Raw genomic sequence first — 21,340 nt, forward strand, 5'->3', positions numbered from 1 at the left:
AACCTTATGTCAGCAATACGACTTAGATACAATCATCATGAGTTTTCTCTTGATACTATAGATCTGGAGATGTCCAGGAAAAGCAAACACATCGAAAACTACAACAGTATGAGAAATCCAAAATCTAACTCCTTACTTGCAACTATCAAACAGTGGTAGATAATGTTTTAATAGGTTAATGTGTCAATTTATTTGCTTCTATCCAACTAATGAGATAAAAAAAAACAAAGCAAGAGAAAAAGAAATTAATTGCCAGCTAAAGCATGCTTTAAATGTCAGACAAAGATAAATGATGGTACACAGATCCTAATACATAAAAGTGACAAGGTGAAAAACAAAAGTAATTATTTCTTAAAATTGTATTCCCAATCTCTAGGGTAACATAAGTAGCTGTTTTATTTTTCACAGACATGCTATGAGTGCATCTTTAAGTATAATCAAATTATTACACTTTTCCTACATGTTATTTGCTTTACTCAGAATTATTATTCTGAGCATGTTTAATTTAACAAAGAACGTATACACTTTTTTCAGTCATACCAAGAAATTAACATTATTACAGACAGAGCATTTCCCCTGCTTTTCTCTCAAAGAATCCCTAATAGGAACTATCCAGCTGCTATAAAAATAGGTATCTGAAAAGAGCTGTTTCCAGGTTTAAGATGAGTTAATATTTAGTTTGGGGGGATCAATAGGATTTTGTGGGAGGGCAAAACAATAATTAAAGTTTTTGAACAATGTTTTTTTTCATATTTTTTTATTTCTTTTTTTACATACAACATGAAATATCCAATAATAATGCAATTAATGGCTATCATTTTAGTTGCCACATGCTAGAAATGATAAAAACTGCTTTTCATACATCATTTTATTTTATACATAAAATAAAATGTGAAGTTTGTGTCATAATTTTCCATTTCCCAAGAAGAAAGCTGAAACTTATAGTCACAGGGCTGATAATATTAACACAAAATTTTTACCGCCTGGCTCCCCCATTCACCTGATTCCAAAAGCCTATGTTCTTAGTAGCACCACTATTTGGATATGGGTTTATAATGGTTACTACTTAACCTCAATCTATACCAACCTGAAACCAAAGGAATGATTCATTAGTCTTAACTTGTTTGACTCTAGGAGAATTGTATATCTAGTAATATACCATAGATAGTCTCCTCTCACACAGTCAACAAAGCAGTCTACAAGGTATTAATGAGGGTGATTAGTATGAAAATGTAGCCTAGAGATGACGGAAGAAAAATTATAAAACACAGTCACTGTAAAATCAGTTAAGCTAATTTTATGTGATGCACATAGTTCTCCTATTTGGAGTGAGTGGAAGAAAAGTTGATCATGGTTAAGGATGTTTAAATCATTAATTAATAAATCACCTTTGCCAGTGTATTTTTTAAACTTCCAAATCATTTCAGAAATGCAATGAACTCTAGTAGTAGTATCTATAGCATTACACGCCTTTCATCGTTCACAAATAGAATGAGAAATGGCATAGCTCTGAGAAAATTTAAGCAAATGAGAATAATCCATCCTGATTCTACATCTTCTCTTCCAGTAACCATGACATATCTTCCTCTTCGTAACTTTCTCTTGCCAATTCAGGAAGAAAACACTTCGTATCACCATTGAGATGTGACAGATGTTTCTTTTCTATGGTTAACATAATTCCAGAGTTACTAGAGAACATAATACATCTCAATATCCACATATAATCTGTTTTACTTTATTTTTGTAATAGATGATAAACAGAAATTACAGTTAATAATGATCTGTTGCTACATTTTAAAATATTTTAGTCATGTACTTCTTTCTAAAAATGATGTTTAGATCCTTATAAAATTATATTTTAATTAACAAAAAGCCAATTAAAATTATTGAAATATTTTAGTTGAGATAAGACATATTTCTCAATTTTGTGATTATTTATCGACAGTGAGAGGGCATGTGGCATGTATATGTGTGTGTGTGCACACACATCTGTGTTTGAACATTGAGATTCCTAAAACAGTTGAACAGCCAGAATAGGACTTTGAATTACTGATTCTGGAAGGCAATTATGTAGTTTGAAAATAAAATAAAATGCCTATCTACCCAACCAGACTTGAAATATTGAGCAGAGTAAATCAATACAGGGCTAAATTCTTGGAACTCAAGGATGTAGAATAGGCATATGAAATATAATGCAAACCAGTAAAAATCCTGTCTCCTTACCTCATGCACTTGCCAAGAAAAAAAAAAAAAAAGAGTTTTCTTCCCTCTTACCCACTTTTGAGCAGGGAATTGAGATTGGCTAAGCATGAGTCAGGTCCTGACATGTTTTTGCAGAAGAAATAAGGGGAGGTCAGCACATCAAAAAATACAAGCCAGGCAAGTAACTCAGAACCGTGGTTGTACCCTATTTCCTGGATTCTAGTTTCCATAGCCATGATAGGGAAATTGATTCTAATAGCTTGGCAGAGAAATAAACCACTACTCTTGCAGCTATCCAAAGGACTTCAGTTCATAGAGAACATACTTTCATCTCATCACCACTGAAGAACAGCAATAGCCCCTTCTGGTCTGCACATTGTCTTAAAGACAGGATAAGAGCTTACCAAATGGGAAAGGCAGTGAAGGGTATTATTCATAGGGAGTCACGTCCATTAAACACTGGTATTCATCCGGCTAGGAAAACAGTCGCAGGTAAATCCAGTTGCAAAGTGGTTTGGATGGGTCCTCACCCAAATCTCATCTTGAATTGTAGCTCCCATAATCTCCATGTGTTGTAGGAGGGACCCAGTCGGGGGTAATTGAATCACAGTGGCAGGTTTTTCCATGCTGTTCCCGTGATAGTGAAAAAGTCTCACAAAATCTAATGATTTTATAAAGAGCAGTTCCACTGCACACACCCTCTTGCCTGTCACCATGTAAGATGTGCCTTTGCTGTTCTTTCACTCTCCACCATGATCGTGAGGCCTCCCCAGTCATGTGGAACTGTGAGTTGTTGAACTTCCTTTTCTCTATAAATTACCCAGTCTCGGGTATGTCTTTATTAGCAGCATGAGAACAGACTAACACACAAATTTAGCAGAAAATAACATTTATCTCAAGGACATGCTACAACTATAAAGCATCATAATGAAGTCCTCCTTGATTGTGTACTACCTTCTTACTTACTGGCTTGTTCTCCAAAGCCACAGAATATCAGTTTGTTGATTGAAATTATATCACCAGTATAAAGCATCCAAATCTTGTTTGGAGGATCTGAGTTATTTTGACACACAGAAGCACTCTCAATTTGCAGCCCAGGCAAAGAGCCTAAAATAAGAAGTTCCTGCACAAAATATTCCACATCTATATTAACTGTGAAGTTTCCAAGGATACAGGTCCAATTCACTATCCAGATCTGATGTTGAACTCTTTACAAATAGTACACATAACTGTGCTCTACTTTAAGCCTAACAAAACACTACTTACTGAAATTGTGTCTAAATTCTACCCTCTGTAAAAATCTTCTAAAAGTTCTGTTTCTTTTATTTTCCTTTTCTTTTTTCTTTTCTTTCCTTTTCTTTATTTTATCTTTTTCTTTCTTGCTTGCTTGCTTCTCTTTTTATTTCTCTTTCTTTCTCTCTCTTCTTTCTTTCTCTCTCTGCTTCCTTACTGCCTGCCTGCCTGCCTCCGTTTCTTTCCTCCCTCCCTCCCTCCCTTTTTTCTTTCTTCCTTTTTTTGAGATTCGCCATAGTTTTTCTAGTATACGGTCTCTCTCATTGCAATAAGACAACAATTTGACATGGTTGAATGACGGGCTTATTTGACAAAATTCAATAACCTTTCATTATAAAAATATTCAACAAACTAGCAATAGAACTTCCTCAACTTGATAAAAGGAATACCAAAACCCGAGGCTCGTATTATATTTAGTGGTGAGAAAATGAATGTTTTCCCTCAAAGACCAGGACCAAAGCAAACATGTCCACTTTTGCCTTTATTCAACTAATGTTGACTAAAACTGGAGATTCCAGCAAGGGTAATTGGGGGTGGGGTAAAGAGAGAGAGAGAGACAGAGAGAGAGAAGGAAATAAATGGTATCCAGATTGGAAAGAAAGAAGTAACACTATCACTATTTGCAGATGGCAAGTACTGGTATATACAAAATCTTAAATAATTTAATAGAAATGTATACTCAGGATGCAGGTTACAAAAGCAACATACAAAAAATCATTTGTATTCTATATAAGAGCAATGAACAATCTGAAAATGACATTAAAAAGACAATTTAATTTATAATATAATTTTAAAATATAGAATACTTAGAAATAAGTTTAGCAAAATAATTTTAAATGTTAAAACATATGCACCCAAACTACAGCACATCATTGAAAGAAGCTAAGGATTTTAAAAAATGGAAAGATAACAATGTTCATGGAATGGAAGGCCTAATATTATGAAGATGACAATTCTATCCAAATAGACCTACAGATTTAATGTATAGAAATCCCAGCTGGCTTCTTCCCAGAAATTGACAAGCTGACCTTAAAATGCATATGGAAATACAAGGGACCCAGAAAAGCCAAAAGAATCTTAAATGAAAAAAACAAAGTTAGTGGGCTCACACTTCCTGATTTCAACCTCAGTATAAAGTTTATAGTAATAAAGAGAGTTTGAATAAGAATAGACACAGCTACATGTACCAGAAAAGTCCAATGAGAAAAAAAATTATCTCAAATATATAGTACTCCCAACAATTGTATAGCCACATGTAAAAGAATGATATTTGATTCCTTCTTCATATCACACACACACTCATACACCCACACATATAACTAAAAATATACCTTAAACCTAAACATAGATGGTAGATGATGAAACTCTTAGGATAAAAAATAGGAAGAAATCTTCATAACTTTGGGTTAAGCAAAGCCTTCTTAAACATGACACAAAAAATACAAATGAAAAAAGAAAAACAGATGTTAGATCTCATCAAAATGAAAAACTTGTATGCTTCAAAAGACAAAAAGTCAACTGACAGAATGGGAGACAATATTTGCAAATCACTTATGTGATAATGGACTTGTATCTTGAATAAATAATGAATGCTTTATACACTCAACAATAAAACAACAACTAATCCAATTAAATAATGGGCAAATAATTTGAATAAATATTTCTCCAAAGAAGATACACAAATGACTGATGAACACATAAAAAATGCTCAACACTATTAGACATCAAAGTACTGCAAATCATAATCACACTTGATATTCATTATGACGACTGCAACAGTAAGAAGTTTTCACAAAGATGTGGAAAGATTTGAACCAATATATATTGATGGTGGAAATGTAAAATGGAGCAGCCTCTTTGTAAAACAGTCTGTCAGTTTTACAAAATGTTAAACATAGAGTTACCAAGTGACCCAGCTTTTCTACTAGTAAATATATACCCAAGAGAAACGAAAACGTACCTCCACACATACACAAATGTTCAACAAATGTTCATAGCAGCTTTATTTGTAATAACCAAAAGAAGAAACAGCCCAGATGTCAATCAGCTGATAAGTGGATGAATAAAATTTAGTACATCCACGCTTGGAATTATTCAACAATATAAAAACTGAAGCACACATATATGCTAAACTCGACCCCCTCTCTTTACACACACACACACACACACACACACATAGACGTGTGTGTGTATATATATATGTATACATATACATACAGGACACAATTATAGAAAATTATTTTAAAGTATGTGAATATGTAGATATGGTTTAATTGTTATCCAGTAGAAATTTTATAGAAAATTTAAATACCTGGCAATTTCCCTTGAGACTACCTTATTAGAATGCTTCACAAATGATTAACATGGATAATTTTCCTTTTTCTAACCATTCAATCGATGAATGGGATGCAATAGATTTTAATATGGATTGCTTACTGTGAATTAGACTACCACTAATATGATTTAAAAGCTCAGAGTCATTTTTGTTTCTCCCCACATCAGTAAATACATTAATAAAATAAAATTATTATCTAAAATAAAATAATAATTTTTTCCACCAGTCTAATTTACTAAAAATTAAACAAATTAAAAATCTACACTGTAATCTGAAAATTAAAACAAGAAGCAATTAAACTAGAAATAAAAATTTTCATTATTTTGTGTTAGTGAACGCATAGAAAAACATAAGAGAATCTGCTAAAAAACTACTGAGTTGGGTAAGCTGGCAGGCAATAAATAAGTAAATTAAAATCAATAGTTGTATATATACAAAAATAACCAGTGAGAATATATAATGGAAAGAGGATGCCAGTCCAAGTGGCTGCTAATCCTGCTGGTTCCAGTGAATGAGAACACCTAAAAAACTGTGCAACTGTTGATCACCTGAATTTAGATCTTCTTGTAGCCAAGGCATTGTAATAATGCTACTTTTCGTGATCGTGGATCTGTTAAGTTTAGGTTCTCACCCCTCTAACAAGAAGAGATCCAACCCTTTCAAAGGGCTTAAATGGGGAACAATATTATCTTACTCTTTCTTTTGTCCTTATTATTGCACTTAGTAAAACACATGATTTTCCCAAATCAAACATGTTTGCAGAGATGCAACTCTATTTTTAACAAAGGCAAGCTTTTATTGTCATCCCCCAAGCAGTTTTAATTTCCTGAACCAGAGCATCTCAAATATTTCCATGTTGTAAGAGAGTCTTTGCTTTACACTGCATAGCAAAACAGGCCTATTTATTTGGTTTTCCCAAAACAACAACAACAACAACAAAACAATTTGCCCTGAAAGAGTATTGAAGCAGATTAAAACAGCTTGAAGTTTTAAAGTGACAGTGATTTGTTTCTTTGTTTGTTTGTTTGTTTGTTTGACCCAGTGTGGATTTCTTTTGCCGGCTTTAAAAATATTCAACATCAAAGTTTCAGCCAGGATTTCAGACTCAGCTGAAAATTATATAGACTCAGACATGTCTCAAGAATTGCCTCTATTTCATGTCACTACTACTGGAAGGAAAGTAATACAAGCCATGAAAAGATTGAACATATATGTGATATCATTGTGTCAGTCCTTCTGTAGTCACCGGAGATAAGCACCGACTTTCTGAAGATTAAACTAACATTGGCATGTCCGGAGCTGCTAGAGCAGAGCATGAACTCCGCGGTGCCTGAAACCCTCAGGTATGCTGTAATTCGCCATCCAAGGAGAGGCTGTGAGACCCTATATGTACAGCCACTCCTTGAGAAATATAATTAGAAAATGACTTGGGATCCATCCTTTCCTTAGTGAGAAAGTGAAATAAATCTTCAGCTGAAAGCTATGAACCAGAACCCAACCTCTAAATTAAGTATTATTTAAGGTTTCCTTTAGGGTCCTCCTCTCTTCCTTTTCCCCTCTCTCTCTTATGTGAAACTTCTATTCCCATGGCATTAAATATCATTTACATGTTTTCATTTCTAGTCCATATTTCTAATCTAAATTCCATACGTACGTCCAACCATGAATTAATATATCTTTGGGTATCTCAATATCTCAGTATAAAATATGTAAATAGAAAAAGTGTTTCACCCCAATCTTAATTATCCATATAAATTAGTTCTCCTAATGATCTGTGAATTATAGTAGTATTTATCCAGTTACTCAGACTGGAAGCCTAAGCAATCGTCTTTCAATCTTCTCTTTTTCTTGCTTTTTGCATATAATCATCAGTAAATGCTTTTAATTTTATGCCAAAAACGTATGTTGAGTGTTTCCATTTTGTTTTCCCTTTCCACACTGATCACTGCCGTTACCTCTTGTCTAAGCTTCTGTCCCTAACTAGCCTTCCCAAATGTCATTCTTGTCAATTCATTCTCCATCCAGCAACTCTAGGTAATAAAAAAGCATGTATCATATCTTTGTCCTGCTTAAAATCCTTCAATGATGTCCCATCACATTTAGAATAAAATGTGGTTTACTCCCTGCCTGCTTCTTCCACCTTATCTCGGGTTAGTGTCCCTCCTTTTTTATTATGCCCTGGCCACAGGGTGTTCTTTTCAGGGCTTCCATCTATAAAAACTCAGGTTTGTTTTTTTTTTTCTTGACACATGTAATATTCTCTGCCTTTTTCTTCCCCGGGTCTGACGTTCCTTTGTCCATCCTCTTCACCTACTTCATTTCCTCTGTCCCTTTTTTAATATCCTTCACAATGTACTAAAATTTTATGTGTTGTTTGTGTTGTTTTTGCCTGTCTCACCCTACTGGAATGAGGACAGGGAACGTGACTGTCTTTTTCTTAGTTGTTCCCCTCAAACTGAGCAAAGTTCCAGGTACAGAGCAAGCAATCAAAATTACTTGTGGAATAAATCAATATGTATTTCTGAATCCATTGAGCAATCAAAATCACTTGTGGAATAAATCAATATGTATTTCTGAATCCACTGAATGCAGGGTCTGCATATTTATGCTTTAATTCTTAAATGCCCAAGACCTAATATATCAGAGAGGTATATAGAAGAATGAGAGCACAAACTCTGGTTTCAGCTAATAGCTTTGAATCCCCGCCCTACCACTTTACTAGCTATATGATCCTGGAAAAATTCATTTAGGCTTTCTGTATTTTTTAAAAATATTTTATTTTTTTGAGACGGAATCTCGCTCTGTCGCCCAGGCTGGAGTGCAGTGGTGCGATCTTGGCTCACTGCAAGCTCCACCTCCGGGGTGCACGCCATTCTCCTGCCTCAGCCTCCTGAGTAGCTGGGACTACAGGTGCCCGCCACCATGGCCGGCTAATTTTTTGTATTTTTAGTGGAGACGGGATTTCGCAGTGTTAGCCAGGATGGTCTCGCTCTCCGCCCGCCTCGGCCTCCCAATGTGCCGGGATTACAGGCGTGAGACACAGTGCCCAGCCTAGACTTTCTGTATTTTCGTTCCCTTGTCTGAAATACAGAGATAGTAATGGTAACAAATTCATAAGACATTTGTGATTATTATGTGAGTTAACATTTGTGAAGTATTTAGAACAGTGCCTAGCACAAAATAAGGGTTCAATATATGTCAGCATTGTTGTTATTATTATTACATTGCTCTACACAAAGCTACAGCCAATTATGCTTAACAATGTTGAAGCTCTGTTGGATAAATTATCATCCCCATTTTTCTACAGGTAGAATACTAGAAATAATAGGAATTATGTGAGTGAGTTTCTGAACTGTAAGAGACTACAATCTAGATTTATAAATATAATTCTGTTTTTATTATAAGAAGTTGTGCTCCAGTTTATTTGTTCCTTATGCCTTGTAATAAGCTCAGTCATTTGAACCACTTACACTGTCTTTAAATTTTAGTATAACTTGTAGGATGGCAATGTGAATATTTTCTGATCTTTTAGGTGGAGAAGTGGTGAGACTACTCGAAAATTAAAATGTTAGAAAATATCAAATTTTGATGGTATAATGTGAAAGACAGAAGGATAGAGAAACAGAGGGAAGAAAGTAAATAAAAGACTAAAAGTGATTTTTTTAAAAAGGTAAAAGTTAATGAAGTAAGAAAACAGAAAAAGGCTATTCCAGATGGTAGGGATCGTAGAAAGAGTTTGGTTGTTTATCATCAAGTTTTGCAAAGAAAAGGAATAAGTACAGAAAATTCAAAGAAACATAAGAGATGAATAGAAACATTTAATTTCCAGTAAATAAGCAGTGTGCTTTGACATTGAACTCAATATGAAAAGGTGTTAAGAATTTTATGTAAATAAAGCTTATTTACTCTCTCATATTTTAAAAACCATTTGATATAGTCCAAATTACATACACATAATAAATGTTATGTAATAAGTTACCTGTTACATGAAAATACTATATATTGCATGTGTACACAATACTACAATCCCAAAATGTATGGAAAGACCATTTGGCTCACCAACTAAAATTATCAATAGGAAAAATAAATGCTCACCTTATGAAAGATTTCTTATTGAAATGTACTATAAATAAAATTGACCTTAAAATGTTTAAATGGAGTGGAAAGGGTATAAATGTAAACACACTTAGTTGATGTTTAAGACAAAATAAAAACTTAAATTCCCTGAAAAGATTCTAATTTACAAGCAATAAGGATGATTGTTTCTTAAGTACCTACTATGTGCCCAGCCCTGTAAAAAGAGACATACAAAAAGAAGAATCCTAGTCTATACTAGAAGAAAAAGTCATTTTTCCATTGACATTAATCAAGTGAAATATTAGGTGGCAGATATTTTATGAGGTGTAATAATTCAGGAAAGTGTATGTTATTTTTAAATATGTTCATATCACCACTTTTACTTCAATCACACAGGCATTCTAACCAAATTTTCTTACTCTCTAATGGTAATCATTTGAGTTTCTTAAATTTATTTTTTGATTTGTATTTCTTACTAGCATTAATTTCTACATTTACCTCTGAACAAATTTTAAAATCTCCGTTTCCTTCCTTCATCTTCATCCCCATCATTCTTAATGACTTAAATTTGATTTATCAGAACTTGTACTTATTTATCCTCAGTGTGTATCAACTGCTATGAATTTCTTTACTCAACAAGTCACACGTCACCGATACCTCCTTTGCGTTTAAGCTTGGTATGCATCCTCTCTCATCTCCTACCTTTTTATTTGTCAGCATTTTCATTATGGTGGAATTTAATCTTTGTTTGAAACTCAGTGATTGAGCGCTTGATCCGTCTTTAATCACACAATTAATTACCATGCTCAGACTATGATAGCTGGCCTACCAAACAATGAACAACAAAGTCAACAATTTTAATACTGTCTTACTATTAGTGTCAACTCTTATGCCTTTCTATACATCATAATTCTCTTGATATTGGGGCATTCTTGAATTTTCTTATTATACTTTTTTTAGGAAGTGGAAGATTACCGGAGGAAGGAGCAGAAGCATGGACTAAGTTCATCTAGCACCACTTTTGCTTGGCATTTTGCTCTTTCTGACACACTTCAGTCTTGACTTGGGGATTTATTTGCCACCCAGCAAGTTATCTCTTTTTTTTTCTTTTCTTCCTATAATTCTCTTTTTCTTACCTTTCATGATTACATATGTTTTTGTTTCTCTCTTTCCCTCTGTCTCTCTCCATATGTAGTCAGCAGACTATTGTCAGGTATTGGCTAGAAAAACAGTAAATTATTTTGTCATCTTTGAGTTATCTTAGGCAGGCACATTAAAGGGGTCTAAGGTCATTGTAGTGATGTGGCACTAAATCCCTGGCATTATATAAATATATATATATTACAATTATATTTATATAATTATGTTATATATAATTATATACAAGGTGATATTTTATATATATAAAATTATATATAATTATATAAATATATATAATTATATACATATAAATATAAATAATTATATAAATATAAATATATATAATTATATACATATAAATATAAATAATTATATACATATAAATATATATATAATTATATACATATAAATATATATATATCTCCTCCTACTTCCCATGGTGAGTGCACTCCAAGGCTTTTAGTGAATGTAGGATTGTTTGTGACTCCAACTATAAGAATCTTCATGATGACCCCTGACAATGATTATCTTCTTGACCCAACTCTAGCCGGTTTCCTTGGAGCCTACTTCTCAACTAGGCCTCAGCCTTGTCGTTTAAAAATTAAAGACTCTCAGACAAAGGACTTAATCCACTCTTCTCTGCCCACATTAAAAGACTTAAGCACTAACATAATTTCTAACAGCACAAAGCCACATCCATATGATGACCCTAGTCCCCTTTAATGTGCCTGCCCCAGAAAAGTCAAGAATGATAAAGTAATTTACTGTTTTTCTAGCCAATACTTGATAATAGTCCACTGAACATGTTTTTTATAGTATTTATTCAAAAGGCTTTACAATTATGAATTTTTCCTTTGTCCCCTTGAGATGTGTATGTATCTCCTACAACTCAGGAAAGCCTTTCTTAAGGACCTGAAAGCCATCCATTAGAAACACAATCATCAGAAAAGATAGGACCTCTGTCTCCCAGTTTCTGTGGGAGAATAGTATTCTAACTTCGATTATTGAAAGCTAGTAGACACAGCTGGCCTAATTGCCTTTACCCTGACAAATTATTTATATTTTTTTACTTTCCAGACTTCAGAGAGCTCTCTTGTTCAGGCCCCTACTTCCTCATTCTCCTTTTAAATCACTCAGTCACCTCTGTACAAATCAAAGTTGACTTTAGTTTATGCTGCACCTTACCCCTATTGCAATGGCATATTATTGATCAAATCTATCCAAATTTTTATTCCTAATTCTATATCCTTCTATATCCTAATGCTATATCCTTCTCTTTAATTCCATCTTTAGAATATGATTTCAGAGATTTAAGGTTTAAGATTGTTTATTAACTTTACTGAGTAAATTTTTTTTCTTCCTAGGAGTACTATTCACCCCTCAAAGGAAACCTGTTTATTATGGTTGAATAATCAAGTCACTTAAAGGAAGAGTTGAAGATATTTCCTAAAAAGAATATTCAGGGAAAAATAGATTGAATATCTATTCTAAACAAATATTTTTTGTCTGTTGAGAATAAGAGCAGAAAATTGGAGCTGAGTCGTTCAGAAAAATAAAGTTGACTTTTTAATGTTATGTGGCAGAAGAGAAGAAAAAGTTATAAGCTGATGGCTGGAGAGAAAAATTTGAGGAGACAAATATTACGATGTAATTGAGCATTTATTGAGTGGTGTTTAATGAAACTCTCCTCCACTACCTCTCAATAGAATCTCCCATATAACATTGACTTCTTATTTAAGCTTGTTGACTTCCTAGGGATGTGGCTTCAAGGAAAATCCAGGAAAGAGCTTAAAGCTGTACATGGAAAATAAAACTGCCTTTGCAAATATTATGACAGTGAGAGAAATCCAACCTAGCTGACTCCATCTTGCTTGTAACCTCCAAGCTGCCATTGTTCATTCCTGGGCATAGGCCAAGCTATCTATGGGAAGAATTTAGTTTGTAGTTTAACCTTAAAATGAAGATAACAGCCCCTTCCTGAAACTAACTCCTTCCTTGCTTGGGGCTCAGGAGTTATGTAACAGAGGCCACAAGATTTATGTAACAGAGTTATGTAACAGAGGCCTCCCCAAATGCTCCTAGAGATAACATCACTACTGCAAAACCTAAGATTGTTATTTGAGGTATTTTTCAAACCTTGCATTCTGATGGACCAGCTGGTGCCACCTGGACTGGTAACCCATACCAAGAAACAACTAGTCTTGCAATCTCACCCAGAAACTGACTCAGTGTAAAAAGACAGCTTCAACCCTCTATGGTTTCATCCCTGACCCAACAATCATCATTCCCCATTCCCTAGTCCCCTGACTGCCAAACTATCTTCAATAAACCCTAACCTCCTAATTTCCAGGGAGGCTGTTTGAGTAATAATAACTTCTGTCTGACCACTTGGATAACCCTGCAATTATTAAACTCTTTCTCTACTGCAATACCGCTATCTCAGTGAATCGGCTCTATCTGTGCAGTGGGCAAGAAGAACCTGTCGGGCAATTACAAAGCCCAACATGACTTGGTTATGCTTAAAGATTTGGAGCATGTTCTTTCATCTAGCTAGCTTTGATAAATTTGTGGTTGGGGGAGAGAGGCCACAGATACATTGTTTGCATGGAGTGTTTCTCTTAGCTATTAGAGTGAAATACGTATCACAATGCTGTTTGTCAACTCCTCCAATCCCTGAAATTCCATTTGCTTTGAACAAATGCCCTCAGATAAATACCTTCTCAACATGCCTTCCTCACCTCTTTACACTTGTCCATATACAATAATATTTTGCCCAAACTGCTATCTTCATACTTAGTATTTCCCCAACTATCTGTAAATTCCTTAAAGATTCTATACTTATCTTGCTGACTTTGACCTGTTAGAATACAGAAAATAGTCTCTACATATTCTTAGTCAGTTCTGTATCTCCAGAACCTACTCATTATAGGTAGTGAGTGTATCTTACGTTTGTTGAATTCCCTAATACTCAAAAATAATTTTAAAATTAAGTTTGGAGCAATCCAACAAAGGCTAAGCAGATGAAGGTGGTTATCTGAACTTTAAGCTTAATTTTTACCCATAAAGTTACTAAAAAAAAAAGTTATTTAAAATGATGGAGCTATTAATAGTACCATTTCCTTGGAGCTATTTTTTCCCTGTAGTTATTAGCAGTCAGTAATATGTACTCATATTCAGGTACATTGGCCTACTTAAAACATAAACTATTTTGGAGGAAAACAATATGAAACAATGCTTTAGGACAGAATTACTAAAGAATGTGTTACTGAAATAGAACTTAAGACAATCACTTATATATCTAATTTTAAATGTTATCATAAAGAACTCTCATGTCCCAACATTCTCAATTTAAATCGTCTCCTTATTCAATCTATAGTTGTTTGCCTGAATTAAATTTGGATTTCAAAAATTAATTTTGGAATAAAATATATTTTTAAAGTGACTCAGTCTTTTTTTTTTTTTTTACTCCAAAGCTGGAGTGAAAAAAAGTCAGTTTCTAAATGATAAAGTCATTCCAGGAGTCCATTTGGTACTGCACATACTAAAGCCTAAGGATTTATTATTACAAGCCTTAAAGAATAATTTAATGTGGCTCCAAAATATATATGCTGATTTTTAAAAGATGCTTCATTTATGAATGATTCAGGTATAAATTGTTTATTAATATTTATTAACTATCATTTTTTAAATATGCTGACAGAAAATTATTTACCAAGTGATATTAAACTTTTTAGGAATCAAAAGTTTATCTTTAATAGTTTATGGAAAAAAATCAATTCTTTTATCCTTTGTTTACACTATCAGTTCATGCCCTAGCTGATTTCTTTCATTATTCAATGACTACAAATCTTGAATGCCATTTGTCCTATTAAACTACTCAGTGAAAACAAAAAGAAGCAGCAATACTAACTTTCTCAACCTTATTTAAATAACAATCATAGTTAAAATTTATAGTGTGTATTTGGGCTTCACATGTGCTAATTCCAATTTACTTCACAGGTTAATGATGTGGGGACTCGGGTGTCACAAAACTTACATAATATCTAGTCAATAGTATTTATTGAGCACTTACTAAGTGCTCAGTACTATTTTAAGAGTTTATGCTATTTAATCTTAGGATGCACACATTTACTTGATTGCTCTTTTCTTTTTCTTTTTGTCTAACTGCACAAATACTGTCTCCCTCTTATCTCAAAACTACCAGAACACAAAAACAGAATGTAAGCATCTTAAGATGTGTGTTACTCTAAATATCACACAGATAACTGTAACTGCATTTTATGGAAAAGGTGATACCTGCAAAACAGAAACTCAACTGCGTTTTGCTAAGTTAGTAAAAGGGTAATTATCAACAAATCTAGTTATAAAATAGATCTATTATGGAAATAAAAATCAGTGTGTCAATGTGATCTAGTCAGTGCAGTATTTCTTTCTCAGAGACTATTTTTAATAGCAAAAGTGGTAAGAAATTAATTTGATGCTAGGGATATTTCTTTCTGATCTTTTGTCTTTCTTGACTTCAAGTTTGTCTTTGCACTTCAAGTTATATAAGGGAAAATAAAATTTCAGATAAGGATAAATGTTTAGATATATCAGCAGTACTCTGCCTTATCAAACAGTTTAAAAAGAGATAAAGGACTTTCTATTCAGATAAAATGAGTAGATAACATTTATAATTCCAAGAAAATAATTATAGTTATCATTCATAAAAATATAAAAAGTAAGTTCTATTTTGAGAAATCTACATTTAACAGCTTTGTGTTGTTTCCTTGAACTAACCATCTGGTCCTCCAAAATCCTACTTAATTAGGAAAATTTTAAAAACTGTTGAGAACTTTCTTTCTATTCTTTTGAGAAAAAATTGAATGGAGTAGAATAAAATTACCCTGGAAGCTTAGGAAATCCTGTGAACTAAGTTCTGATTGCTGTCTTTTAACCTTTTTAAAACACTTTCAGTGTTAAAAGAAACATTTCTTGTTTATTTGAATTTTCATTCTGACATCATACACTAATTTTAAACATTTATTTCCCAACTTTGTTAAAATTTACTATTCGGTTATAATAATTGAAAAAACAGATGTTAAAAGATTTACAGTCAAAAGTGTATTGATTGCATGCATATATTCCTAGAGTAAAAGAGATTAAAGAAGGAAACACACTTTGCTTAAAAAATAAGAAAATAAATTAAGACAGAGAAAAAATAAAAATAATAAAAGAAGGTTTTATAGAAATGAGGGCTCTATAGAAATATCTAGGGCTAAAATAAAGTAATAATAGGAAAGAGTCACAAATATCAAATCTCCCAAAGAAAACAGATGGCACAAGATGTAAAAACCAATTTTTAATGGATTTTTATACATGAAAAATGCAACATATATGAAAAACTCCAAGGTTCTTGAGTGAGATTAGAAAGAATTGTGTGATAGAAAATGGATAGAATTGAAAAATTCAATAATCCTTTAGGCATACATTTGAGAAAATAAGTTAGAAACAAAGATATGCCTTCTGAAAGAGAAAGAAAATAATATCTCTTCATGCCATGCCAGAACAAGTTAGAAAAACAAAAGACACAAACTAAAACATAAGAACAAAAATCTGTTCATATTCAGGACAGAAGAACTTAGGACATACAAGCAGTTTATTTTCTAAACAAGTTTGTAAGTTTATTTCCTAGCTGATGAGATTGAGGTCAAGAGTGTCAGGGAATGACAGGGGTCTGGGAAGGTGGCAGAAAATAACACCTGGTCCCCTCATTCAGGACAGAAATAGTCATATCCCTTTGAGTCAGAGTTGGGGGCAAGACGGAGCTGGAAGATCTTACCCAAATGAAAATCGAAGAAGGTATAATAATGTGGGTGGGGAAATAATTATTTTTTGTTCGTAAAATGGGACCTCTAATTCCTGCACTTCCCATACCTCTCTCCTCAATTCACATATCCAAAATCTGAATATTTTTACAATTGCAGAATGGATTGTTTTCGTAACGTGACAAACATTTATTGATAATGATTTAGAATCTGATGGTATGTATATCTATCTACACACACACACACACACACACACACACACACACACACACAACTCTGACTCAAAAGGAGATGACTGCTGTTTCTGTCCTCTTTCAGGGGACCAGGTGCTATTTTCTGCCCCCTTTCCAGTCCCCTATCATTCCCTGACACTCTTGACCTCAAGCTCATCAACAAGGAAATAAACTTACAAATTTGTTTAGAAAATAAACTGCTTGTATTTCCTAAGTTTTTCTGTCCTGAATATGAACAGCTTTTTGTTCTTATGTTTTGGTTTTTGTAACACACATATCTATAAAGATATGTGTGTGTATGTATATGTATATACTTTTTTAAAACATTTTGCTAGATGGAAATTAATCACAGAAATGGCCAAGATGGATAATGGAATAAAATGGGTGAAAGACTGTGGCACTCAAAACCAGATGAAACTCAGGGCTGTCAATGTCTTGTGAATAAACTGAAAACTAATTTTTAATCCAATCAGTGCTATTGCCTGACTGAGTGACCAAGTGGGAGTCCCCGTATAACCTTGTTTCTCATTTATAAAATGGCATTAATAACCAGCAGTTCCTTAACTGCTCTAGGTGTGTTATCAAGATAAATGAGATCATTTATATGTAAAGTTTATGATTTGTTGGAAAGAAGCACTATGGAAATAAATGTTGGTATTATTATGGCAATGCAGAGGTGTACAATACATTATAACAAAATAACATTCCATCTTTCTATCACTTTACAGAAGCTTCACACAGAAAATGAAGAAGATATTTAAATATTTCATATAAGTAAAAATGAGAAAGATACTTATGACCAAAAAAGTGTCAAACAAATATGATAGATTCATACATTAATTAAATAACTATTGTATGCCTTCAATATAGATATTTTTAAACATCATATTTTTTCTATAAATTTAAAACCTGTCAAAGTTTAATGCAATCAGAATACATATTTTTCTTTCTCTTTTGTCTTTTTGTCTTTTCCTCTTTCTTCCACTGGATTCTTAAATTCTGAGACATTGAAGTAAATTATATTTTTTTAAGACTTAGGAATCAACATTTTATTCAAAATATTGGTGAGGTCTTCTGAGAAAATTATGAATTTTAATAAAGACAGAAAAGTTAGCCTGTCACAATAACAGTGCAAGGCCATTGTCCACTCCAAGTCAATCTGAATGTGGTGACATCAAAAATGACAGTTATCGAGTTGGTTAAGAGAGATGAACATGGAATGGAGGCTGTAAAGTTCAATGAGATTAAGTTGAAATTTGCTTAGTCTGTCAGTCAGTGTCATTCATGCACAACTACTGCATACAGAGAATTGTACTATATACTTCCTAGAGAAAACTCCCAGAAGGTCTGTATATATGTTTTAGGAAATGTTACATTTATCCTCTTCGCCTAAATGTCAAGAACAAAGTAATGTTTTTGGAAAGTATGCATTAATCTACCTATACATTTTTAAAACATAACCTTTAATTAATTATGTGAAATCATTAAACTTCATTGAAAAATATGCTTAAGTTTTTCTGTGGATATGTATTTAAGTTCCTATGTGTTAGAATCAATATGATGTTCTGTAAAGTAAGTGTAAAGATCTTCAAAAGATAGTGGTACCATAAATTCTTTCAAAATAAGAAGAATATCTTAAATTATAAATATTTACATGTTATAAGTTATGAATAATATATTTGAGAGAAGAAACATGAAATGGAAACAAGTATTAAATTTCCTTATCCCTTAAAATCAGGTTATGATATTGTAAACCAGTTTTCTTTTGCAGATATAACAATTATCCTGAACTCTAAAATTAACATGAAGTTAACATAAAAAATAAGAATTCTTTTGAACCCCCAGGATTGTTTTAATAGCATATATATTAAACAGTTGCTGGGTTTTCTTTCTATATTAAAATTTGTTAATGTTATTTTCTCAAAGTTCCACTCATCTATTGCAATTTTAAAATTAAAGTGCATATATGAGGTATAAAGTAACAGTTTTTTTAACTTTATTACTCATAGAAAATACTGATATTGGGCCAGGTGTGGTGGCTCACATCTGGAATCCCAGCACTTTGGGAGGCCGAGGCAGGTGGATCATGAGGTCAGGAGTTCGAGACCATCCTGGCTAACACGGTGAAACCCCATCTCTACTAAAAATACAAAAAAAAAAATTAGCCGGGTGTGGTGGTGGGCGCCTGTAGTCCCAGGTACTCTGGAGGCTGAGGCAGGAGCATGGCATGAACTCAGGAGCAGAGGTTGCGGTGAGCTGAGATAGCACCACTACACTCCAGCCTGGGTGACAGAGCGAGACTCTGTCTCAAAAAAAAAAAAAAAAGAAAAGAAGAAAATACTGATATTGTCAAACAATCTATAGAGTAAAGGAAGCACAGACAGAGATATAAGGAAACAACATTTTTTTTAATTGACACACTGAAATGAAACACTAAAGGTGTTAGATGCCTACCATCTTGATTAAATTTATTCTACCCATGAAGCAACAGTTTATGATTTTCAAATGAATAACCCACTTAAATGTAGGGAGCATTAATACAATATGATATTAATATACAAATACTCACATTATTCACCTGCTACTGACATTCTGAATTAAATCAGTAATGGGGTGTATAACTGATTAAATATCTACACAACAGAAAGCAACAGCTTATGATTTAAAGAGGTACTGGTAGAGTGATCACATCATTACACTGCCAAACACCATCTATCACTTTTACTGAACTTAACGAAGATGGATTACATCCCGCAGATGAGATGCAGCCTATAAATACTGTCATGCTGATCTTCATCTGACTTTCCTGGAGAACAGATGAGCAACAAATCAATAATTGAAGAAGTCATATTAGCTATTCAGTTTTATTCAGCACCCGGAAGAAATCATGTAGGACATTATAGCAACAAACAGCCTTAATTCAATGAAATCTGCTAATTCATGCTTTTTCTTGTAAGCTAACTTATTTTCTCATTCAATTTATTTACTTCATCAAATTTAAGGAAAAGCATCAATTTGGTGTAAAGCATCACTACCCACTTTTACATTTTGAACTAAGACTGGTTTAGCACCAAAAAATTATTGCACAACAAACTTTTTGTACCAAGTGCAATATGTTTGATTCAAGTTACAAACTCATATAGGTAATTACAAATGTACAACATATAATATTGGTTTTAAACTTACTGTCTTCAAACATTGAAACAAAATGAATACCATGAAAATATGCATAAACAATGTATTCATTTTACAGCTTCTGGATTGTTTTAGTAGTATTTCTCCATTAAACACCTGCCTGAATTTCTATTTACCATCTCATTTAGCTTTCACAGTTTACCTTTGTGGAAACTGCCTGTCAATTGCTTCAGTAATCCAATCACTGGAGACCAGATTGCTTCCTGTCAGTCGGTTTGTATAATGTTATGGTAATAGATAACAGGTGGTCAGTATTCAACGGCTGAGGTGAAGATGATTTCTCACAAGCTATAAAACATCTGAGGAAATGCTTTAACAGTTCATACTTACTACTAATTGCACCATTAGAACTTTAATTAATTTTTTACCCTTCCACTATGTTCCTTAGTTGGCCATAAGGCAGGAAATCATTCGGAACAGAAAGAAAGAATCTAAAGAGACAATAACGAGGGGTAATACAAAAAAGAATGAATGGCAGAATGGCTCACAGTTTGCTCTGAAACTAGAGTGAAGTTTGATTGCTTAATCAGTTCTGTATTTGATCGTGGCCCTAAACAGGGATCAGTTTTTAAGAAGCATCTTAATTCTGGGAACATGTTAACTACTGCCCACATTTAAACTGACTATCTTCAATTACTAACTATATCTTGAAAGTATTTCAAAATGCTTCTATTCTGATTTTAAGGCATCAGCAATCAAATCCTGCAAGTCAGAAATGGAGAAATGAAATATGAAATAGGTTTCACACAAGAACAATTTACATATTTTTAAAAATATGGCCTTAGAACATAAAAAAATGGAAAGAAGGCATTGTATGCAATGTCACTGAGCTGATGTTTAAGCTTACATTAATTTCTACTTTGGCATCTCCAGGTTTCTAGTTTATAAATAGAACATCTTCAGTCACATTGTGTGGCTAGACAGTCCTGTGTTTCACTAACTTGAATTTTGTAGTCCTTTTCCTCTATGACCAATTTGCTTGTAACTACCAATTTATTTATAATATCTACAGTTTACAACAATTTGTTTGAATAAAATACATCTTTAAGCAATAAAGT

At 33.2% G+C, this 21,340-nt stretch overlaps 1 protein-coding gene across 4 annotated transcripts in view; it reads right to left on the minus strand.

Moving 5' to 3' along the window:
* LRP1B (LDL receptor related protein 1B) overlaps positions 1-21,340 on the minus strand; it is a 1,899,594-nt gene that overhangs the window by 370,566 nt on the left and 1,507,688 nt on the right. The window lies entirely within an intron of this gene.

Source organism: Homo sapiens, chromosome 2 (assembly GCF_000001405.40).
Source record: "Homo sapiens chromosome 2, GRCh38.p14 Primary Assembly".
In the NCBI taxonomy this organism is placed as follows: Eukaryota; Metazoa; Chordata; class Mammalia; order Primates; family Hominidae; genus Homo; species Homo sapiens.